Source organism: Homo sapiens, chromosome X (assembly GCF_000001405.40).
Source record: "Homo sapiens chromosome X, GRCh38.p14 Primary Assembly".
Classification (NCBI taxonomy): Eukaryota; Metazoa; Chordata; class Mammalia; order Primates; family Hominidae; genus Homo; species Homo sapiens.
This window is the reverse complement of record NC_000023.11, coordinates 132,860,545-132,886,543: the sequence shown is the minus strand read 5'-3', so window position 1 is coordinate 132,886,543 and position 25,999 is coordinate 132,860,545. Positions and strand designations below refer to the sequence as shown.

The 25,999-nt window shown below is 39.8% G+C and overlaps 1 protein-coding gene across 10 annotated transcripts in view, besides 1 other annotated feature; it reads left to right on the top strand.

Annotated features, from left to right (window-relative positions):
- HS6ST2 (heparan sulfate 6-O-sulfotransferase 2) overlaps positions 1-25,999 on the top strand; it is a 335,356-nt gene that overhangs the window by 74,827 nt on the left and 234,530 nt on the right. The gene's annotated exons all lie outside the window — the stretch shown is intronic.
- Positions 9,990-10,522: an enhancer, noted in NCBI's record as "OCT4-NANOG-H3K27ac hESC enhancer chrX:132010050-132010582 (GRCh37/hg19 assembly coordinates)". NCBI's record gives its function as "activates a minimal SCP1, AML or CMV promoter by ChIP-STARR-seq in naive H9 embryonic stem cells {active_cell/tissue: H9 hESC(naive)}" and the evidence as "EXISTENCE:reporter gene assay evidence [ECO:0000049][PMID:30033119]".

Below are 25,999 nucleotides of genomic sequence, written 5' to 3'. Positions count from 1 at the left end.
TTTGGGAAATTTTTAGCTATTATTTCTTCAAATTCTTTTACTCCCTTTTTGTCTTCTCTCCTAGAATTTTCATTAATCACATGATACTTGATGTTTCACAGGTCTCTGAGGCTGTTTATTTTTATTCAGTCCTTTTTCTTTTCTTCTTCAAATAAGATAATTTCTATAGATTTATCTTCCAGTTCACAAATTCTTTCTTCTGCCATCTTGAATCTGCTGATGGGGCTCTGTGGGAAAATTTTAATTTCTCTTTCTCCAATTTTCCAGTTCAGAATTTCCATTTAGTCTTTTGTAAAATAATTTTTCTGTCCTTACTGAGGATTTTAAAAATTTGTTATTTTTGTTGTCATACTTCAACTCTTTAAACGTGGGTTCCTTTAGTTCTGTGGTGAACATATTTATAAGAGGTCTTTTGAAGTTCTCATCCAGCAAGTCCAATATATGGGGACATCCAGAAACTTTATTGATTGCTTTGTTTTTCCTGAGCACATCTCACTTTTCTGTTTCTCTCTAATTTTTTGTTCAAAACTCACATTTTACATAATATATTGTAGCAACTATGGATTCTGGTGTTTTTCCTCTGATGGTTGGTGTTGTTGCTGTTTTTCTTTGTTTGTTTGTTTGTTTGGTAGTTTCTTTGTTTATTAACTTGCCTGATCTAAATATGTGAATTATGTCTCCCACATCGTGTGTAGCCCCCGATGTCTGTGCTCAGTTTTTAAATTCTTGTTTTTTATTTTTAAGCATGGCTTTCTATTGGTTCTTTTCTCTGTCTGTGTAGTTTAGTGTACAGAGGCTGTGACCAAACATCTTGTGCCATTAAGGCTACTATCTTCTGTTGGTGGGTCTGTGTTTGGTAGAGTTGCTCATTCAGGGTTTAAGCTATTTTCAAGTCTGCCCTGGCTATTACTTTCTACTGGGCCATCTTACATCATATGTGTTCTCTGTAAGTTTTAGTTGTTATGATTATTATGACTGTATATTCTTTCCTCTCAGCAGTTGTACCAAAGGCTTTTTTGCTCTCCAGTAGCTCTCCTTTCTAGCTTCTTCAATCTCAGCAGGTGACCCTCCTTCTTGCTTTCTGAAAAGATGTCGGCCACACAGTATAGAACCCATGACTTCCGATTTCATTTTTTTTATTGAGATATAATTTACCTAAGGTAAAATTCACCATTCAGAGTACACAGCTCTGTGTGACTGTTAGTATAATCACAAAGATGTACAACTACCATCACTGTCTGATTCCAGAATGTTTTCATCACCCAGAAATAAACCCTGTGCCCATTAGCAATCTCTTCTCATTTCTGTTTCCCACCAACTCCTGGATACCAGAAGTTGTAGCATGAATCATTGCTTCATTCCTTTTCATTGCTGAATAATAGTCCATTATAAGGGTAGATCATATTTGGTTTATCTGTTTATCACTTGATGGACATTGGATTGGTTCCACATTTTTTCTGTTGTGGATAATGCTGCTATGAACTTTTGCATACAAATTTTAGTGCAGACATCTTTTTGGTTCTCTTGGGTTTACACCTCCCCACTTTATATTTTATTTAATGTAAAGTATATATTATAATAATGTTGTTACTTACTTCTCATTGTTGAAGAATTACCTTCTACGCCATGAAGAATTCTTAAATTTTATTCCCACTCTCTATCACCACTTGCAGGACCTTGCTCCAACAATATCACTCCTCATCAGTATCTCTCTTCTTGCTCCCACAGTATCTCTCCTTACCAGTCATTTCATCTTCTCCTCTGAGTCCATGCTGTTAGTCTACAAACATGATCTGATATGTTTGATCCCAAGCCTTCAGTTACCTTTAACACTTCCCATCATTCTTCTTATCTAATTGGTTGCCAAATCTGGCCAATTTTATCTTCAAATTAATTTTGAAAATTATTTTGTACTCCTCTTCCACATTCCTACCAGTCAAATCACTCTCTATGCCCCAGATTAGACACAGTTACTCTTTTCTCTATAGCACTTTGTACTTTGTGATGGCACTTAGTGTCTTGTGGAATAGTCATTTTTGTTTTAGTTGTAATTTGTTAATTTCCTCCTGGCTGCAAGAATAATCTTTTATTCTTACTCATTCTTGCATCCCCAGAGCAGCCTAGCATTGGATCAGAGCAAAGGAGTAGCACTCAAAACATCATAACATCTGCAGATTGTGGTTTAATTTGGACTTTCAAATTTATTATTTCTCATGGTCTCTCTCCTTTCCATCCTTCATCTCTCTCCCTCCTTCTCTTACTACCATTGTATATAAAACTAATTTCTATTTATATGTATCTTGAATGGTGTAAGGTCAGAGATAACCAGTTTCACACATGTTTGTGTCTTTCCACAGTGTCAGACTTTTATTGATGCTATTTCAATCACAAAATCCATGAGCCACATGGAGTTCCCAAGGAGGCAATTCTCCTTCGTACTTCCCATTCACTCGGAAGTCAGAGCCATGCCACAGAGGCACAAGCCACTCCATAAGTCAGTCAATATTGCAAACCACACAAAACAGTACATTTCATCTATATATATATGTTACAGATTGAACATTCCACAACAAACAAATTAACATTTAACATCAAGAGAAAGAGGATAGGAAAAGGGGTTAATGAACCAGTCTAGGAAGACAGATATAGACAAAAAGAATGTCCTGGTCTGGACCAGCTGGTTTGTCAATTTTGCAAGGAAAAGTCTCATGTGGGCAGAGCCTTTGGTGGCAGATGCTGGGTGCTTATCACGAGTGAAAGCAAGACGGTGTCAGTTAAGACAGCCATTTGGAGCTGCTGAAGTCCTGCTCCTTTTATGGCCACAGAGTCCTCTGGTGAGGACTGATAGTGGAAAAGTATGCCTATGTCCTTATCTGGTTGGTTGCAGTCTTTATTTATTAAGCAAAACATCTTGACCCTCTTAAAAAAGTGCCCTATGAAATGTAAGATGGAGTCTTTTTCTAAGATGGAGTTACTTATGTTAAGGGCGCTCTGTACAATATATGCTTGACATATGTTAGGCACTCAATAAAAAGCTGTTGGTTAACGCAATAAAAAATGGTAAAGGAGATATCACCACCGATTCCACAGAAATACAAACTACCATCAGAGAATACTATAAACACCTCTACACAAATAAACCAAAAATCTAGAAGAAATGGATAAATTCTTGGACACATACACCCTCCCAAGACTAAACCAGGAAGAAGTTGAATCCCTGAATAGACCAATAACAGGCTCTGAAATTGAGGCAATAATTAATAGCCTACCAGCCAAAAAAAGTCCAGGACCAGACAGATTCACAGCTGAATTCTACCAGAGGTACAAGGAGGAGCTGGTACCATTCCTTCTGAAACTATTCCAATCAGTAGAAAAAGAGGGAATCCTCCCTAACTCATTTTATGAGGCCAACATCATCCTGATACCAAAGCCTGGCAGAGACACAACAAAAAAAAAGAGAATTTTAGACCAATATCCCTGATGAACATTGATGCAAAAATCCTCAATAAAATACTGGCAAACCGAATCCAGCAGCACATCAAAAAGCTTATCCACCATGATCAACTGGGCTTCATCCCTGGTATGCAAGGCTGGTTCAACATATGCAAATCAATGAACGTAATCCAGCATATAAACAGTCCCAAAGACAAAAACCACATGATTATCTCAGTAGATGCAGAAAAGGCCTTTGACAAAATTCAACAGCCCTTCATGCTAAAAACTCTCAATAAATTAGGTATTGATGGGATGTATCTCAAAATAATAAGAACTATTTATGACAATCCCACAGCCAATATCATACTGAATGGGCAAAAACTGGAAGCATTCCCTTTGAAAACTGACACAAGACAGGGATGCCCTCTCTCACCACTCCTATTCAACATAGTGTTGGAAGTTCTGGCCAGGGCAATCAGGCAGGAGAAGGAAATAAAGGGTATTCAATTAGGAAAAGAGGAAGTCAAATTGTCCCTGTTTGCAGATGACATGATTGTATATTTAGAAAACCCCATCGTCTCAGCCCAAAATGTCCTTAAGCTCATAAGCAACTTCAGCAAAGTCTCAGGATACAAAATCAATGTGCAAAAATCACAAGCATTCTTATACACCAATAACAGACAAACAGAGAGCCAAATCATGAGTGAACTCCCATTCACAATTGCTTCAAAGAGAATAAAATACCTAGGAACCCAACTTACAAGGGATGTGAAGGACCTCTTCAAGGAGAACTACAAACCACTGCTCAAGGAAATAAAAGAGGACACAAACAAATGGAAGAGCATTCTATGCTCATGGATAGGAAGAATCAATATTGTGAAAATGGCCATACTGCCCAAGGTAATTTACAGATTCAATGCCATCCCCATCAAGCTACCAATGACTTTCTTCACAGAATTGGAAAAAACTACTTTAAAGTTCATATGGAACCAAAAAAGAGCCTGCATCGCCAAGTCAATCCTAAGCCAAAAGAACAAGGCTGGAGGCATCACGCTACCTGACATCAAACTATACTACAAGGCTACAGTAACCAAAACAGCATGGTACTGGTACCAAAACAGAGATATAGACCAATGGAACAGAACAGGGCCCTCAGAAATAATACCACACATCTACAACCATCTGATCTTTGACAAACCTGACAAAAACCAGAAATGGGGAAGGGATTCCCTATTTAATAAATGCTGTTGGGAAAACTGGCTAGCCATATGTAGAAAGCTGAAACTGGATCCCTTCCTTACACCTTATACAAAAATTAATTCAAGATGGATTAAAGACATACATGTTAGACCTAAAACCATAAAAACCCTAGAAGAAAACCTAGACAATACCATTCAGGACATAAGCATGGGCAAGGACTTCATGACTAAAACACCAAAAGCAATGACAACAAAAGCCAAAATTGACAAATGGGATCTAATTAAACTCAAGAGCTTCTGCACAGCAAAAGAAACTACCATCAGAGTGAACAGGCAACCTACAGAATAGGAGAAAATTTTTGCAATCTACCCATCTGACAAAGGGCTAATATCCAGAATCTACAAAGAACTCAACAAATTTACAAGAAAAACAAACAACCCCATCAACAAGTAGGCAAAGTATATGAACAGACACTTCTCAAAAGAAGACATTTATGCAGCCAAAAAACACATGAAAAAATGCTCATCATCACTGGCCATCAGAGAAATGCAAATGAAAACCACAATGAGATACCATCTCACACCAGTTAGAATGGCGATCATTAAAAAGTCAGGAAACAACAGGTGCTGGAGAGGATGTGGAGAAATAGGAATACTTTTACACTGTTGGTGGGACTGTAAACTAGTTCAACCATTGTGGAAGACAGTGTGGCGAGTCCTCAGGGATCTAGAACTAGAAATACCATTTGACCCAGCCATCCCATTACTGGGTATATACCCAAAGGATTATAAATCGTGCTGCTATAAAGACACATGCACATGTATGTTTATTGTGGCACTATTCACAATAGCAAAGACTTGGAACCAACCCAAATGTCCAACAATGATAGACTGGATTAAGAAAATGTGGCACATACACACCATGGAATACTATGCAGCCATAAAAAATGATGAGTGCATGTCCTTTGTAGGGACATGGATGAAGCTGGAAACCATCATTCTCAGCAAACTATCGCAAGGACAGAAACCAAACACTGCATGTTCTCACTCATAGGTGGGAATTGAACAATGAGTACACTTGGACACAGGAAGAGGAACATCACACATGAGGGCCTGTTGTGGGGTGGGGGGAGGGGGGAGGGATAGCATTAGGAGATATACCTAATGTAAATGATGAGTTAATGGGTGCAGCACACCAACATGGCACATGTATACATATGTAACAAAGCTGCACGTTGTGCACATGTACCCTGGAACTTAAAGTATAGTAATAAAAAAAAAAAGAAAAAAAAAGTTGTTGGTTAAATAGTCTCTGCTAAATTTGCGACACATCTTCCCAGATAAGATTCTTCTCTCCGAACCTTTTTTTTTTTCCTTTTTTTTTTTACACAGAGTCTCACTCTGCCATCCAGGCTGGAGTGTAGTGGCTCGCTGCAACTTCTGCCTCCCAGGTTCAAGTGATTCTCCTGCCTCAGCCTCCCAAGTAGCTGGGACTACAGGTGCATGCCACCACGCCCAGCTAATTTTTGTATTTTTAGGAGAGACAGTGTTTCACCATGTTGACCAGGCTGGTCTCGAACTCCTGACCTCAGTTGATCCACCCACCTTGACCTCCCAAAGTGCTAGGATTACGGGCATGAGCCACCGCACCTGGCCTCTCTGAACTTTTTTACCAGTATTTATTTTAATTTTGGTTGGGGGCAGTAGAGAGATGCAGAAAAGGAAAGGAAGGCATGAAACTGCTTGAGAAATACATCAGTGAATAAAAGTTTTTTAACATTTGTGGTGTAATGACAAATCCTGGAGAAGTTTTAGTTCACACCTGGAGTATTCCAGCAGAAGTTGGATGCCAGCCGCTAGGCATTCATTCTGCAGAGGGGCTTCTCTGTTAGGTACAAGGTTGGGTTCAAGTACCTTCTGAAGTCTAGCTCAGTGTATTTTTTGGAGTGTAGTATACTAACAGGCAAGAACAAGAAGTGGAGGAGATGTGCCAGGGGAGGAATAGTGATGACGTTGTAGGTGCTCAGCTCCCAGATGATGGGAAAAGTGTTTCATGGCCTCACACATCTTTTGGGTTTTTTGTTGACTGTCTCCCCCATTACTCAATGAGCTGCTACAGCATAGGGAATGAATCTTCAACTTGTATTTCCAGTACCCAGAACAGAGGCTTGTACTAAGAAGGCATTCAATTGGTATGTAATGGATTAGAATAAGTTGAATTGAAGATTGAACTGAAGTCAAAATCTGATTTCTAAGGTTCCTTCTGGCCTGAAAATTCAGACTCCTCTGATTTCAACCATAACAGCCTGGCTAAGCCTCCTTGAGAGAAACCCTGTGCTTCCTTAGTTTAACCACCTCTTTGTGGTTGAATAGTATAGGTTTTCAATCAAGTCCTAGGAGGGTGTCAGTTTCTTGTTGTACTTACCAGGATGTGATAGGATTTCAAACAAGGCCCAAAAGAATGTATTTTCAGGAGTTGAGATGTAGCCACACTTTCTACATTTACAATGGCCTGAAATGGGTTACAGTTTAGAACAAGCTTTCTTCTTTATGATGCACAGGATTTCTATGATGGGTGGCTGTTAGGCAATGAGTGTGATGGGGGAGCATTTTCAATCTTAGCTCACCTTAGCACACCTTAGCACAGGACTCTAGTTACAGGGTCATAATTCCCCATGAGGTTAGCCCCTGTAGTATCAGCTACTTTGTATGTGATTTAAGCCAGTACTGATTATTCTCCTGCTTAGGGAGAAGCGGTAGAAGGCCCTTGGAACTGTGAGTTTTGCATTCCAACTTGCTAATTCAACATAGATCCTAATTCCTTAAATGCTTGTAATTAGAAATTCTCGTGAACTGTATTGGTTTTTGTCAAGCAATCTGTTTGGGGAACTTGACCAACTGGGGCACTGCTGGCTAGGGTGAAATTTATTTAATTTGTTTTTATGACATTCTTCATCTTGGAAATGGGGTTTTCAAATATTGCTTTCCCAGGCATCATTACTTATTTGCTGGTTTTTATTTCAGGATTGGGACTAGCTCAGGGTGCCAGGGAAGCGTTTTGTGGTGCTCTATATTAGAGTCGTAATATCCAAGAAAATTGTCTGATTGTATGTGGTATCTTGGATGTGGTACCTTATGACAAATGTTCCACATTTTGACAATATGATAGGTTTATGATTATTTATATTCCAAATGATCTTACTTTTTAAAAGTAATATTTTGTGCAGTCTTTGCAATTCTGTTTTCCTTTCTATTGTTATTTAGAAGCTATTCATTGGCGTTTGGCATCATTCACCATCTTTGAGCATTAAAAAGAAAAAGAAAAAAGCAAGTACACTCTGTGTAGCATAGAATCTCTGTTCACTTTAGAATTCACATTGAACATGAGCTGATCCAATTGCTACAGCCTTGGCAGTGATAGAGGCAGGAGACAGCCAAATCCCTAGGCAGATAGGGAAAGGTCCCCGGAGAATCTCCGACCTGCCCCACAAGTGTTGACACCAGATGTTTTGTGCAGATAAGGGAACCTGCACAGGGGGCTTGCCTGGGCATGCCCACAGCATACTGGAGGCCCACTGGGGGAATGGGATGGAGCCACTAGGAGTTCACACCTTATGCAGGGGTGGAGCCTGGCCTCATCAGTTCTTGTGTGGTGGCCCTGGTATTCAATTGTGAGGGGGAAACCTGCTTGGAGGACCCCTCTCCTTACTGAGAGCTTTCTTTTCACTTAATAAATTCTGCCCTCTTCACCCTTTAATGTGTCTGCATGCCTAATTCTTCCTAGTCATGAGACGAGAACCTGGATTTAACTGAGCCAGGGAGCAGAAACTCCTGCATCAGTAGCAATTTTACAACTGTTTATTAAGGAATACATCTTGCCCGAGGAGGTTTTATATTGTATCCCTCAAATGGCTATTTTCCCCTCCTCCGTTTAAATATTTTTACTCAAGTGGTTTCCTTCTTTTGGAATGCCAGTCAACTCCATCTCCTACTTGATTTCCAAGACCGTCTCCTCCAAGATGCCTCTCCTGTCTCCCCTTTCCATACAATAGAATTTATGGGTTTATCACTGTTAGTACCAAGGGCTTCATCATCTGCTCTCTTATGTTCCCTGCTTGTCAAGGTGTAGCTTATTGTAGGGTTCAATGAGCTGCTAGCCACTGTCCCATTTGACTAGCAGATGCTTGAGAAAAGCAAGTACACAGTTTGGATTCGATCCTACAGTGTCTTACATAGTTCTTGGCACCTGCATGTTTGCTCTAGGAACAACCTTCCTTATTATACCGAGCTGATCCTTTTGGGCAGCATTCATTGAGTCAAATGGCCTGTGTGAAACGGGGTCTGACCCTAAGTGGACAGAGCTGAGAGGTTAGAGCTGAAGGACTCAAGCCCCAGACTTGCTACAGATTAGTAGGGTGACTTCCAGTTACTTCAGTTTTCTGAGTGTAGTTTCCTCATTTTAAGCTTTGTAAATATTAATATCTGGCATACATAATTTGAAAAAATGCTGTAAGGATTAGAAGAACGAATATACGTGCAAACCTTTAAGAAATTATAAGTGCAAACACACGTAGTACATTTCCATTTTTAGAGCTTCATTTTTTTCTTATCTGTAAAATAGACATGTAAATGCCTACCTTTCTTATTGGGTTATTGTGAGGATTAAGTAGAATAACATATGTGGAAGTGCTTAGCAAATAGGAGGTGTTTAATAAATGTTGCCTGGATATGAATTCCCCTCTCGGGACTGTCCTGATGTGAGGCTTTTCCAGCCCTTGGGGGATGTGCATTTAAATCAGGCTGCTTGTACCTTGGATTAGGCAACTTAAAAAAAGTGTAGCCTTGTTAGTTCCAACTTCTCAGCTATAAAATGCAGAGTAATTAAATTTGCTAGTAAATGTTTCCAGGCCTTTGAATGGCAGCCAATAAAAAGGACTAAATATTATTCTTTTAGAATTCATGTCCTTGATGTAGAGGAAATATCATATTTACTTACACATACTCCTGCCTTGGCTTTTTAGAAGAAAACTAAGAAAAATGTTTTCCCCTCTACATTTCCCACTTGAAGGTGTTATCTGTATTGAAACAGCAATGACAGCTGCCAGCAAAGGAGTGTGATTTTTCTTTGCCAAGGTAAACCAAGGGTTAACATCAAGGAGTGTTGGGGCCCCTGCTGGTGGGCTGGAACCAGAGCTAATTCCTTAGCAGTCACTCACTCTTCTGCCTCTTCAGCTGTCTCTCACCCCCCTCCCACCATAAAGGAGTGGGTGTTCCTTCAGGACTGTGCACTCGCCTCCCTCCCTCTATCCCTCTTTTTCCCACCCACACATACTTCCCAGAACCTCTCCACCCTGTGGCTGATTTATCTTTCCTGGGACCAAAGGCAATAAAGCCTCAAAACTAAAACTTGCAAGGAAAGACAATCCTAATGGTAAACACCTAACCCGCAATGCTGATTACTTGAAAATAAGCTGTTATTCTGTCTCCAGATCACAAATAGCCTCACTTAAAGCTCTACCCCTGAAAGAACTACTGAAAGATTCAGGAAGGTCAGGAGATCCAGATTCCAATTAACTTAGCACCTGATGCCTGTGTAACTCTGGATGGGTCTCAGTTCTCTAGTAGTTGAGGACTGGTATCTCAAAGGTTAATGAAATTTGCCTAAGGTGAAGGTAGATTAAGCCTTCCATTCTCACACAAATTGCCCATCTTCCAATCCCCTTTGTACCTTGACATTTTCAACACAAAGGGGTTGGGGTGCTCAGAGGATTACACAAGCAAGCACATATTTGTCACAGCACCTGATTATAGACCTGCATTTTGGAAGAGAGGTATTTCAGGATCTTCTCATTACTGAAGCCTCTCATTGTAGGACCATGGTCATTTTTAAATCTCCCACATTGAAATGACCAGTTGGCAAAAACCTTCAATTACAAAATCTCTTCCAAAGAGGCTGAGTTTTTTTTTTTTCTTGGATCACTTCACATCCTTTTGAATACCCTGAGGCAGTATTTTTATGGGCTAACAGCAAACAGAGTGTCGTGTAGAACCAAGTGTGTCCCTTCACTTTCTCCACCCCCTGCAAAGTTTGTGATCTTCAAAGCATGCTGGATTTTAAAATAAAACATCTACTTCTAGTCCAAGCCTTTGGCTGTAGACTTTGGGCTTAAGTGTGTTTTTCCACAGAGGTGTTACATCCCCATTTCTATCAGCTAAGGAAAATGAATTCATTCAAGGTCTCCCCTGCCATTCATCGAGGCTCCCCAAGAGGAGCTTTCCAGAAAGATCTGTGCCAATTGTAAACTTACAAGATCCTCAGCCCATAACAAAATGCCCAGACACCTTGGCTCTGCTGACACAGGCTGAGAGAGATAAAGGAAACAGCTGGCTGAGGTCCTGACTTTTTTTTCACATTTTTTTCACTTTTTTTTTCACAAAGGCCCGCTAGCCTTTGCAGACTGGGGACTTTAAGATTGTTCACTACCCATCCAGCAGGGCTGGGCATACAGATACCAAAGCTCCATCTCCAGAGACGTGAACTCTAACCAAGGATCCTCAAACCACTTAAATCATGAACCTGAACCTTGAAATGAAGCAAACATTACATTTAAACTCCCATGTTTAAAATCAGTTTGCCCTTTTCGCTCACTCTTTACTCTGGGGGATGCATAAACACCTTGGGTGCCTGCTGTGACAATCAAGTTGGCAATACATGCCACCTGCTGGAACCATAGTCTCCAATCTGAACTCCTTCCCCAGCTACCTGTTTCCTGTCACAGGCCTTGGCATTCCCTGTAGCTTCATTGCTTACCTCATAGAATCATGCTTCTCATTAGAGAGTATTCAACAGCTTCTTGTCACTGGGGGGTGCACTTCATTTCCTCTACTCTTGGACTTCTGCTCTACTTGGACTTCATACTCTTGGCTGTCTCTGAGGTAGAGGCAGAGAGAACATCCCTGACTCTCTGCTGCCCATTTTCTGCCATGGGCCGCCCCCCCCTTCCAGAGGAGGAGGTGTTGGGGAACCTCTCCCACATGGCAGAACAACCACTCAAGTCTGGGGAGGTCTTTGGCAGTCATCTTGGGCCAGATGTTGTGCTAGACCAAGACTGAGCTGGGATTTGGGTTTTCTATTCTCACATAGCCAGTTGGAAAGGGTGGAAACACATGTGGGGGTCCCAAGGAACCATGAGAGACTTCTCATCATTACTGCGGAGTTTGACTATGATCTGGCATCCTGGGCTGTTGTGTGGAGGTCTCTATCATGACCGACCTCTTTGGCTTCTCTTGTGCCCTAAGGAAGGTGTTTTTTTTGCTAGTTTTGTTTTATGTTTTTAGACTGAGTCTTGCTCTTTTGCCAGGCTGGAGTGCAGTGGCATGATCTCCACTCACTGCAACCTCGGCCTCCCGGGTTCAAGCAATTCTCCTGCCTCAGCCTCCTGAGTAGCTGGGACTACAGGTGTGTGCCACCACACCCAGCTAATTTTCGTATTTTTAGTAGAGACGGGGTTTCACCATGTTGGCCAGGATGGCCTCAATCTCTTGACCTCGTGATCCGCCTGCCTCAGCCTCCCAAAGTGCTGAGATTACAGGAGTGAGCCACCATGCCCAGCCGGAAGGTGTTTTAAAATTGAAACAAAGTTGCATAGTTGGTTGTGTTAATTGATTCAAAATCTTTCTTTTTTGCAGGGGCAGCTCTAGGCCAAATTCTTCTTGCAAGTTTTTATGGATCACATGTTTGTCTAAAGTACACACAGATCATTCCCAAGGCCAGAGCAGGAATGCTCTGGAAGTGCCCTCTCTGATCTAGGGCAAGCCTGTAGTTTCAGGGTTATCGATAGACCTCGCGGAGGGCAGTGTACAAGGCCTCTGGCTGCATGAAGAGAAATCTGGTGTGTGGGACTGCTCTCAGAAGCAGAGAGGTGTAGAAGGCTGTCAAATGCATAAAGACAATGTCTCTTCACTTGGAGGACAATTTGTCTGCCAAGGGGACGGTGAGATTTGGCTTCATCTCTTAAGAACCTGCATTGAGGGCTGCTCACAATTTCACCCGAGGTCCAGGGCAATTCTCTCCTCTCCAGATCCCATATCTAGTGCTTGTTGCTGCTCATTCAGTATATGGATACTTCTATTCTTAACAAGTTCATAAGTTTGTTTAACCGATGACTGCTCATGTCTTTAAAGCCATTCATTCATTCATCCATTCATTCTCTCCCTCCCTTGTCAATCAACAAATGTGTTTTGAAATTAAGTCTATGCTGGAATTTAGTGATTAATAAGACCCAGATCCACCAAACTATGAGCTTCCTAAGAGCAGGGAGTGCATATTTCATTTATGCATACACAGTGCTGGGCATATGATTTCCATAAATATGAATGGATGCTTCAGGCAAATGCACTTTAATGAAGTTTGCCACAGAGGCATCTAATTCTCAAACCAAATGCTGGTATTTTAATATCTTTTCATAACCAGAGGTCTGAGGGCATGGGAAAATTGCTGGGAAGGAGGGCTCTGGAATAACATGATATTAAGATAGATGCATGAGTGATGACCCAAAGCTTCTTGTTGTCACCCATAGAATAACTTAGTTTCCTGTCTTCCCTGGAAGAAATGTAAGAGGATGTGTGGGGCTAGAAAGAGCAACAAGCTTATATCACCCATATAGTAGAAAAGGAGTGAGTGGAGCATCGAGCCTGATCCTGTGCATTTACAGTAGCAGTAATAGAGTAAAACAGAGCAATTAGTGCCTCATGTAGACTTGGCATTGAGCACCCCATCGCAAAATAGCCATGTTACATATTTCAGTGTTTACCAGTGACAACGTTTTCCTCTTCTTTATGATTTTTGGTTCCTGAGATGTTTAACTGGCCTTAATGCAGTTTTGAGAGATTGCAGGAAGTGATGGGCTGGGTTGGGAATGGCTGGGCATTCAAGTGATTTAGCCATGGGACTCAGCAGTGCATTGCTTTTACTCCTGAAGGACTCTTGGAAGAAAGCTCTGGGCCTCTGCAGAGCTTTGATCAGCTTGTTCAGAAAGAGAGCGTTTTATCGATTTTATCATGGTTACCTTTTTTTATTGTTAAAAGTGTCTATGTTGTAAGGCCTCTTTGTGTGATAAAATTCTGAAATGATCTCACATTGATTTATTTTTTCCTGCTTTCAAAACACAGCAATCTTGGTAGTTTCTTAGTATCCCAAAGGGATAAGGAGTCAGCTTCTCAATAAACCTTTTCTGGTTATGAACACTGTATGTATTAAATAATAAGCAAGCCTTACAGAGTTTATATGATCACATTAAGGGATCTGTTAAATTCCAAGAGTTATTGTTATGTGTGCAAAATACTACAGAAGCACTTGATTTTGTTCCAGAAGCACTCTGCTGGGAATGAGTGCATATTGGTTCTAGTGACTCTGCCAGTAATTAGCTGTGACCTTTGGTAAGTCACTTCTCCTCCATTCCCTCTTGCATCCTGATCTGTAAAACGAGGAGTCTCTTAGTCCCTTCTAAGTCCCTCACCAGCTTTAACATTCTGAGGCTTAAAAAAGCTCATAGGAGACAGGCTGTTCTTTGCAATATTTTCCATACAGGTAGTATAAACAAGTGGAGAGGTAATTGAAAGACTGACTTTCAAAATCTAGTACAAGGACCTTATTTATATGGGATTTTAAACTGATATCTTGAGTCGGACTATGAATGACTACGACTATCAATCAGTTATCTGCACCAATAAAGGACAACCGATGTGAATCATTTGGAGATCTTCCTACTCCCAGTAGATGCAGGTTTCGTGCCCCAGAATAATACTGGAATGTGCTCATGTCTTTAGCACATACCAACTAATCTTGGTGAGAAGTGACCCCCTAAAAAGGTGTTGGAAGGCAAGGGAACACAGTGGCTAGAGCTTAACACATTTGTTGGAAAGAAGAGCATTTTTACACTGCTGACAATATGAGGACTATTTGTTTTCTTATTTTATTATTATACTTTTAAGTATTAAGATACATGTGCGGAACGTTCAGGTTTGTTACATATGTATACACATGCCATGGTGGTTTGCTGCACTTATCAACCCGTCATCTACATTAGATATTTCTCCTAATAATATCCCTCCCCTAGCCCCTCACTCCCCCAACAGGCCCCCGTGAGTTATGTTCCCCTCCCTGAGTCCATGAGTTCTCATTGTTCACCTCCCATTTATGAGTGAGAATATGTGGTGTTTGGTTTTCTGTTCCTGTGTTAGTTCGCTGAGAATGATGGTTTCCAACTTCATCCATGTCCCTGCAAAGAACATGAAATCATCCTTTTTCTGGCTGCATAGTATTCCATGGTGTATATGTGCCACATTTTCTTTATCCAGTCTGTCATTGATGGGCATTTGGGTTGGTTCCAAAACTTTGCTATTGTGAACAGTGCTGCAATAAACATACGTGTGCATGTGTCTTTATAGTAGAATGATTTATTACCCTTTGGGTATATACCCAGTAATGGGATTGCTGGGTCAAATGGTATTTCTGGTTCTAGATCCTTGAGGAATTGCCACACTGTCTTCCACAATGGTTGAACTAATTTACACTCCCACCAACAGTGCAGTGTAAAAGCATTCCTATTTCTCCACATCCTCTCCAGCATCTGTTGTTTCCTGACGTTTTAATGATCACCATTCTAACTGGGCATGAGATAGTATCTCGTTGTGGTTTTGATTTGCATTTCTCTAATGACCACTGATGATGAGCTTTTTTTCATATGTTTGTTGGCCACATAAATGTCTTCTTTGGAGAAGTGTTTGTTCATATCCTTCACCCACTTTTTGATGGGGTTGTTTGTTTTTTTCTTGTAAATTTAAGTTCCTTGTAGATTCTGGATATTGGCCCTTTGTCAGATGGGTAGATTGCAAAAATTTTCTCCCAATCTGTAGGTTGCCTGTAGGTTGCCTGTTCACTCTGATGATAGTTTTTTTTTTGCTGTGCACAGCTGTTTAGTTTAATTAGATTCCGTTTGTCCATTTTGGCTTTTGTTGCAGTTGCTTTCGGTCTTTTAGTCATGAAGTCTTTGCCCATGCCAATGCCTGAATGGTATTGCCTAGGTTTTCTTCTAGGGATTTTATGGTTTTAGGTCTTATGTTTAAGTCTTTAATCCATCTTGAGTTAATTTTTGTATAAGGTGTAAGGAAGGGGCCCAGTTTCAGTTTTCTGCATGTGGCTAGCTGTTTTCCCAATACCATTTATTAAATAGGAAATCCTTTCCCCATTGCTTGTTTTTGATAGTTTTGTCAAAATCAGATGGCTGTAGATGTGTGGTATTATTTCTGAGGCCTCTGTTCTGTTCCATTGGTCAATTTATCTGTTTTGGTACCAGTACTATGCTGTTTTGGTTACTCTAGCCTTATAGTATAGTTTGAAGTCAGGTAGCGTGATGCCTCCAGCTTTGTTCTTTTTGCTTAGGATTGTCTTGGCTACATGGGCTCTTTTTTTGTTCCATATGAACTTGAAAGTAGTTTTTTCCAATTCTGTGAAGAAAGCCAATGGTAGCTTGATGGGGATAGCATTGAATCTATAAATTACTTCGGGCAGTATGGCCATTTTCATGATATTCATTCTTCCTATCCATGAAAATTGAATATTTTTCCATTTGTTTGTGTCCTCTCTTATTTCCTTGAACAGTGGTTTGTAGTTCTCCTTGAAGAGGTCCTTCACATCCCTTATAAGTTGGATTCCTAGGTATTTTATTCTCTTTGTAGCAATTGTGAATGGGAGTTCACTCATGATTTGGCTCTCTGCTTGTCTATTATTGGTGTATAGGAATGCTTGTGATTTTTACACATTGATTTTGTATCCTGAGACTTTGCTGAAGTTGTTTATTAGCTTAAGGAGATTTTGGGCTGAGACGATGGGGTTTTCTAGATATACAATCATGTCATCTGCAAACAGAGACAATTCGACTTCCTCTCTTCCTATTTGAATACCCTTTATTTCTTTCTCTTGCCTGATTTCCCTGGCCAGAACTTCCAATACTATGTTGAATAGAAGTGTTGAGAGAGGGCATCCTTGTCTTGTGCCAGTTTTCAGAGGGAATCCTTCCAGCTTTTGCCCATTCATTATGATATTGGCTGTGGGTTTGTACTAAATAGCTCTTGTTATTTTGAGATACATTCCATCAATACCTAGTTTATTGAGAGTTTTTAGCATGAAGGCATGTTGAATTTTATCAAAGGCCTTTTCTGCATGTATTGAGATAATCATGTGGTTTTTGTCATTGGTTCTCTTTTTGTGATGGATTACGTTTATTGATTTGCATATGTTGAACCAGCCTTGCTTCCCAGGAATGAAGCTGACTTGATCATGGTGGATAAGCTTTTTGATGTGCTGCTGGATTCGGTTTGCCAGTATTTCATTGAGGATTTTCACGTCAATGTTCATAAAGGATATTGGCCTGAAATTTTCTTTTTTTGTTGTGTCTCTGCCAGGTTTTGGTATCAGGTTGATGCTGGCCTCATAAAATGAGTTAGGGAGGCGTCCCTCTTTTTCTATTGATTGGAATAGTTTCAGAAGGAATAGTACCAGCTCTTCTTTGTACCTCTGGTAGAATTCAGCTGTGAACCCATCTGGTCCTTCGTTGGTAGGCTATTACTGCCTCAATTTCAGAACTTGTTATTGGCCTATTCAGGGATTTGACTTCTTCCTGGTTTACTCTTGGGAGGGTGTATGTGTCCAGGAATTTACCCATTTCTTCTAGATTTTCTAGTTTATTTGCATAGAGGTGTTTATAGTATTCTCTGATGGTAGTTTGTATTTCTTTGGGATCCGTGATGATATCCCATTGATCATTTTATTGTGTCTATTTGATTCTTCTCTCTTTTCTTCTTTATTAGTCTGGCTAGCCTTCTATCTATTTTGTTAGTCTTTAAAAAAAAAATACCTCCTGGATTCATTGATTTTTTGAAGGGTTTTTCGTCTCTCTATCTCCTTCAGTTCTGCTCTGATGTTAGTTATTTCTTGTCTTCTGCTAGGTTTTGAATTTGTTTGCTCTTGCTTCTCTAGTTCTGTTAATTGTGATGTTAGGGTGTCTATTTTAGATCTTTCCCAGTTTCTCCTGTGGGCATTTAGTGCTATAAATTTCCTTCTAAACACTGCTTTAGCTGTGTCCCAGAGATTCTGGTATGTAGTGTCTTTGTTCTCGTCGGTTTCAAAGAACTTATTTATTTCTGCCTTAATTTCGTTATTTACTCAGTAGTCATTCAGGAGCAGGTTGTTTAGTTTCCATGTAGTCATGAGGTTTTGAGTAAGGTTCTTAATCCTGAATTCTAATTTGATTGCACTGTGGTCTGAGAGACTGTTTGTTATGATTTCTGTTCTTTTGCATTTGCTGAGGAATGTTTTACTTCCAATTATGTGGTCAGTTTTAGAATAAGTGCCATGTGGTGCTGAGAAGAATGTATATTCTGTTGATTTGGGGTGGAGAATTCTGTAGATGTCTGTTAGGTCCACTTGGTCCAGAGCTGAGCTCAAGTCCTGAATATCCTTGATAATTTTTTGTCTTGCTGATCTAATATTGACAGTGAGGTGTTAAAGTCTCCCACTATTATTGTGTTGGAGTCTAAGTTTCTTCATAGGTCTCTAAGAACTTGCTATATGAATCTGGGTGCTCATGTACTGGGTACACGTATATTTAGGATAGTTAGCTCTTCTTGTTGCATTGATCCCTTTATCATTATGTAATGCCCTTCTTTGTCTTTTTGATCTTTGTTGGTTTAAAGTCTGTTTCATCTGAGACTAGGATTGCAACCCTTTCTTTGTTTTACTTTCCATTTACTTGGTAAACCTTTCTCCATCCCTTTATTTTGAGCCTATTTGTGTCTTTGCACATGAGATGGGACTCCTGAATACAGCACACTGATGGGTCTTGACTCTTTATCCAATTTGCCAGTCTTTGTCTTTTAATTAGGGCATTTAGCCCATTTACATTTAAGGTTAATATTGTTATGTGTGAATTTGATCCTTTCATTATGATGCTAGCTGGTTATTTTTCCTGTTAGTTGATGCAGTTTCTTCATAGTGTCGATGGTCTTTACAATTTTGTATGTTTTTGCAGTGACTGGTACTGGTTTTTCCTTTCCATGTTAGTGCTTCCTTCAGGCGCTGTTGTAAGGCAGCCTATTGGTGACAAAATCTCTCAGCATTTGCTCGTCTGTAAAGGATTTTATTTCTCCTTTGCTTATGAAGCTCAGTTTCGCTGGATATGAAATTCTGGGTTGAAAATTGTTTTCTTATAATCAATAGCTTACCAACCAAAAACAGTTCAGGACCAGATGGATTCACAGCCGAATTCTACCAGAGGTACAAGGAGGAACTGGTACCATTCCTTCTGAAACTATTCCAATCAGTAGAAAAAGAGGGAATCCTCCCTAACTCATTCTATGAGGCCAGCGTCATCCTGATACCAAAGCCGGGCAAAGACACAACGAAAAAAGAGAATTTTAGACCAATATCCTTGATGAACATTGATGCAAAAATCCTCAATAAAATACTGGCAAACCGAATCCAGCAGCACATCAAAAAGCTTATCCACCATGATCAAGTGGGCTTCATCCCTGGTATGCAAGGCTGGTTCAATATATGCAAATCAATAAATGTAATCCAGCATATAAACAGAAGCAAAGACAAAAACCACATGATTATCTCAATAGATGCAGAAAAGGCCTTTGACAAAATTCAACAACCCTTCATGCTAAAAACTCTCAATAAATTAGGTATTGATGGGACCTATCTCAAAATAATAAGAGCTATCTATGACAAACCCACAGCCAATATCATACTGAATGGGCAAAAACTGGAAGCATTCCCTTTGAAAACTGACACAAGACAGGGATGCCCTCTCTCACCACTCCTATTCAACATAGTGTTGGAAGTTCTGGCCAGGGCAATCAGGCAGGAGAAGGAAATAAAGGGTATTCAATTAGGAAAAGAGGAAGTCAAATTGTCCCTGTTTGCAGACGACATGATTGTATATCTAGAAAACCCCATCGTCTCAGCCCAAAATGTCCTTAAGCTCATAAGCAACTTCAGCAAAGTCTCAGGATACAAAATCAATGTACAAAAATCACAAGCATTCTTATACACCAACAACAGACAAACAGAGAGCCAAATCATGAGTGAACTCCCATTCACAATTGCTTCAAAGAGAATAAAATACCTAGGAATCCAACTTACAAGGGATGTGAAGGACCTCTTCAAGGAGAACTACAAACCACTGCTCAAGGAAATAAAAGAGGACACAAACAAATGGAAGAACATTCCATGCTCATGGATAGGAAGAATCAATATCGTGAAAATGGCCATACTGCCCAAGGTAATTTACAGATTCAATGCCATCCCCATCAAGCTACCAATGACTTTCTTCACAGAATTGGAAAAAACTACTTTAAAGTTCATATGGAACCAAAAAAGAGCCTGCATCGCCAAGTCAATCCTAAGCCAAAAGAACAAAGCTGGAGGCATCACACTACCTGACTTCAAACTATACTACAAGGCTACAGTAACCAAAACAGCATGGTACTGGTACCAAAACAGAGATATAGATCAATGGAACAGAACAGAGCCCTCAGAAATAACGCTGCTATCTACAACTATCTGATCTTTGACAAACCTCAGAAAAACAAACAATGGGGAAAGGATTCCCTATTTAATAAATGGTGCTGGGAAAACTGGCTAGCCTTATGTAGAAAGATGAAACTGGATCCCTTCCTTACACCTTATACAAAAATCAATTCAAGATGGATTAAAGACTTAAACGTTAGACCTAAAACCATAAAAACCCTAGAAGAAAACCTAGGCATTACCATTCAGGACATAGGCATGGGCAAGGACTTCATGTCTAAAACACCAAAAGCAACTGCAACAAAAGCCAAAATTGACAAATGGGATCTAATTAAACTCAAGAGCTTCTGCACAGAAAAAGAAATTACCATCAGAGTGAACAGGCAACCTACAAAATGGGAGAAAATTTTCGCAACCTGCTCATCTGACAAAGGGCTAATATCCAGAATCTACAATGAACTCAAACAAATTTACAAGAAAAAAAACAAACAACCCCATCAAAAAGTGGGCGAAGGACATGAACAGACACTTCTCAAAAGAAGACATTTATCCAGCCAAAAAACACATGAAATAATGCTCACCATCACTGGCCATCAGAGAAATGCCAATCAAAACCACAATGAGATATCATCTCACACCAGTTAGAATGGCAATCATTAAAAAGTCAGGAAACAACAGGTGCTGGAGAGGATGTGGAGAAATAGGAACACTTTTACACTGTTGGTGAGACTGTAAACTAGTTCAACCATTGTGGAAGTCAGTGTGGTGATTCCTCAGGGATCTAGAACTAGAAATACCATTTGACCCAGCCATCCCATTACTGGGTATATACCCAAAGGACTATAAATCATGCTGCTATAAAGACACATGCACACGTATGTTTATTGCGGCATTATTCACAATAGCAAAGACTTGGAACCAACCCAGATGTCCAACAATGATAGACTGGATAAAGAAAATGTGGCACATATACACCATGGAATACTATGCAGCCATAAAAAATGATGAGTTCATGTCCTTTGTAGGGACATGGATGAAATTGGAAATCATCATTCTCAGTAAACTACCGCAAAAACAGAAAACCAAACACCGCATATTCTCACTCATAGGTGGGAATTGAACAATGAGATCACGTGGACACAGGAAGGGGAACATCACACTCTGGGGACTGTTGTGGGGTGGGGGGAGGGGGGAGGGATAGCATTGGGAGATATACCTCATGCTGGATGACGAGTTAGTGGGTGCAGCGCACCAGCATGACACATGTATACATATGTAAGTAAGCTGCACATGGTGCACATGTACCCTAAAATTTAAAGTATAATAATAATAAAAAAAATTGTTTTCTTTAAGAATGTTGAATATTGGCCCCCATTCTCTTCTGGCTTGTAGGGTTTCTGCAGAGAGATCTGCTGTTAGTCTGATGGGCTTCCGTTGATGGGTAACGCGACCTTTCTTTCTGGCTGCCCTTAACATTTTTTTCCTTCATTTCAACCTTGGTGAATCTGATGATTACGTGTCTTAGGGTTGCTCTTCTGGAGGTGTATCTTTGTGGTGTTCTCTGTATTTCCTCAATTTGAATGTTGGCCTGTCTTGCTAGGTCGGGGACGTTCTCCTGGAAAATATCCTGAAGAGTGTTTTACAACTTGGTTCCATTCTTCCCATCAATTTCAAGTACACCGATCAAGTGTAGGTTTGGTCTTTTCACATAGTCCCATATTTCTTGGAGGTTTTGTTTGTTCCTTTTCATTCTTTTCTTTTTTTTTCCAATCTTGTCTTCACACTTTATTTCATTAAGTTGATTTTCAATCTCTGATATCCTTTCTTCTGCTTGATCAATTTGGCTGTTTATACTTGTGTATCCTTCGTGAAGTTCTCATGCTGTGTTTTCAGCTCCATCAGGTCATTTATGTTCTTCTCCAAACTGGTTATTCTAGTTAGCAATTCCTCTAACCTTTTTTCAAGGTTCTTAGTTTCCTTGTGTTGGGTTAGAATGTGCTCCTTTAGCTTGAAGGAGTTTGTTATTACCCACCTTCTGAAGCCTACTTCTGTCAATTCGTCCATGTCATTCTCCTTCCATTTTTGTTCCCTTGCTCGCGAGGAGTTGTGATCCTTTGGAGGTGAAGAGGCGTGCTGGTTTTTGGAATTTTCAGCCGTTTTGTGATGGTTTTTCCTCATCTTCATGAATTTATCTACCTTTGGTCTTTGATGTTGGTGAGCTTCATATGGGGTTTCTCTGTGGATGTCCTTTTTGTTGATGTTGATGCTATTCTTTTCTGTTTGTTAGTTTTCCTTCTGACAGTCAGGCCCCTCTGCTGCAGGCCTGCTGGAGTTTGCTGGAGGTCCAGTCCAGACCCTGTTTGCCTGGGTATCATCAGCGGAGGCTGCAGAACAGCAAAGATTGCTGCCCGTTCATTCTTGAGTAATGTTTAGCAGGCATAGTAAGCCTTCTTCAATATTTAATTGTCTGCATACTGATGGATATTTTTAGGGATGAAGATAAGTGGTTCTTGTTTGCAGTGGATACGATGCTTATGAGGAAAGAAGAGCTCTTTTTAAATAGAGTCTCTTGGGTAGAAACTCCCTTGATTAAGTTCCTGAAGTCTTTTACTTTGCTGATCCTCAATTCAGTTTCATCAGCTCACCCAGAGTTTATCAAACTTTGGAGGAATGATTTTAAGAACCAAATATGGCCAGATGCAGTGGCTCATGCCTATAATCCGAGCAGTTTGGGAGGCCAAGGCAGGAGGATCACTTGAGGCAAGGAGTTTGAGACCAGCCTGGGCAACACAGTGAAACCCCGTCTCAAAAAAAAAAAAAAAATTAAGTTAGCTGGGTGTGTCACTGTGCGCCTGCAGTCCCAGCTACTCGGGAGGCTGAGTTGGGAGGATCACTTAAGCCCAGGAATTGGGGGCTGCAGTGAGCCATGATTGTGCCACTGCCCTTGAGCCTGGGCAACAGCGTGAGACTCTGTCTCTTTAAATAAATAAATATGTAATAAAAGTGGAAAAAACAGGCAAATGTATAAGTCACTGATCTATAACTCTAACGTGATAGTTTGTTTATTTACTAATTATATTGCCAACTGACACTGATTGCTCAGACCCTTAAGAGGCACTCTTGTGTGAGGATTTCACTCAAGACACCAAATTACAGACAGTGAATGTTCCATGGAGAACAGAGTTGAAATACTTCCATGCATATTGTCTCTGAGAAAACCACCTCTTTTCCAGGAGAGGTTGTTCTGCAGAGGGTGCCAGATCCCAATCCTGAAGAATCCAAACACCTTTTGAAATTGTATTCTGGGGCTGAGGCCCTGCTTGTTCACCTTGATCAGACAGGTGAATTTCCTCAGCTTCCTCAGCCATTGATTTCTAAATGATCTCTTACTTTGAGGTGCAGATAAGCTTTCTTGATGTAGATCCTTTCCATTTTCCTTGTAGGTACTTCGTGGTTCAAACTTTCACTACTGCAACTACGGTTACCATAAAGTGATTACTATGTGCTAGATTGTGTACTAAGTGCTTTCCATGAAATATTTAGTTGTCACGGCAACCCTACACAGGTCTGGCCAATAAACATTTCTGCAATGATGGAAATGTTTTATAATACTAGCACCACCTAACTCTGGTAGCCATTAACACATGTGAATATTGAGCATTGAAAATGTTTCTAGTGTGACTAAGAAACTAAAGTTTTAATTTTGTTTAGTTTTGATTAATTAAAATGTAAATAGCTAGTGTGGCCAGTAGCTATGGTATTGACATGATGCAGATACAAGTACTTTGATTCTCATATTACATGTAGAGAAGCTACAGTTCAAAGAAATTAAATAATTTTCTCAAGGTCACAGAACTTGCAAATGGCAGAGCAAGGATTTGATTTTGAAGTCAGTGTCCTTATCCCTATAGTGTATGGCCACTATTTAGACTGTGCCTGCTCTTTTTGTATCCAAATTTGTTAAGAAACACCTCTGGTACATTTGCAATTAACCATTGAAAGAAATAAAACTGATAATTATACAATAAAGGACAACAGTCATTAAAACAGCACTACCCTGGTCCCAAAATAGAAGTATGGCTAATGGAACAGAAGAAAAAATGTACAGGTATGAAAATAGATGTTCTTGTGTTATATTTATATTCTTATATTACTGTGATGAACTGAGCATCACAAAAGAATAAGAAAGGAAGAGCTATTTAACTAATGACTTGGGAAAAACTGGTTATCAATTAAACATTCATAAGCTCCCAACCTAGTATATTGTATGAAAATATATTTCAAATGGCATAAGATTCAATTATTAAAGAACAAACTTGTTTAAAAAATCAAATCACAAGAAACAGCAGAAAATTCATTTAAGAAACCATCTGTTCCATGGTAAGTTCTGAAGAAATCATGAAGGAAAAAATTACAGATTTGACTGCTTAAGAAATAAAGACTAATGAACAATAAAAATATACATAGAATAAAAAGGATAACAGATTTGGGGAATATTTGCAACGAATAAGAAAGACAAGGGTGATAATTACATTATCAATAAGAAAACCTTAAGATACCCGGGAAAGTTAATGGAAAAGAACGTGAACAGACAGTTCACACACCAGGGAATATAACTAGTGATTGAGCTTATGGGGAATAGTTGAATTAGGGCTTTTCAAAGAGGTACAAATTAAGTGATGACAAGATAGCATCTTATGCCTTTTGAATTAGCAAACATTTAAGAAAATAGTAATTCTTTGTGTTGAAGATAAGGCAGAAAACTGCTGTATATGCTGCCTGCGGCAGCTAAAATTACTCTGATTTAGGAAGCAAATTTGATGAAGTAATCAAGAACCATAAAAATGTTCATTCAGTCTGACTTAATAATCCGCCCCTGAAAATTTATCTGAGAAAAAAATCCTAAGGAAAATTCACCTCCTTTTACCATCAAACCTTTAAAGTAGAGGAAAGGCCATATATTAAATAATGTGAAGATTTTAATTTATAGAGTTAGCCCTAATAAGGAAAGGAAGGGAAGCAATCTAAAATGCTGAGTCATTGGTGAAGGCCATTAAATATATTATGACACATATACTCTGTAGAATATTATGCATCTGTTAAAGTGATAATTATGGCCACTGTGTAGCAACATGGAAAATGTTTATAATGGCAAACGAAAAACAGCAGGATACACATTTGTATCTTGTCTAAAATTTCAATCCTGTCGAAAGATACACATGAGGGCCAGGTGGTGGCTCATGCCTGTAATCCCAGCACTTAGGGAGGCCAAGGCAGGCAGATCACTTGAGGTCAGGAGTTCAAGACCAGCCTGGCCAACATGGTGAAACCCCTTCTCTACTAAAAAAATACAAAAATTAGCTGGGTGTGGTGGCATACTATGACTGTAATCCCAGCTACTTGCGAGGCTGAGGCAGGAAAATCACTTGAACCTGTGAAATGGAGGTTGTGGTGAGCCGAGATTGCACCACTGCACTCCAGCCTGGGTGACACAGCAAGACTCCATGTCCAAAAAAAAAAAAAAAAAAAAAAAAAAAGATACACATGCCTAAGGACCCAGACTGGAAGGGAACTCAAGGCAAACAAAAACAGTTGGTATGTTAGGGTCATGGGACTTGTTTTTATTTTTATTTACCTTTGTCCTATTTTCTCAATAAACTCAAACTAGAAATGGAAACACAGTCACAGAAATGAAGGATATTCATAAAGCATTGTTTCCTGTTGGAAGCTGCCTTTTATTCTCCTTTGCCCTCAGACATGTACTCCTCAT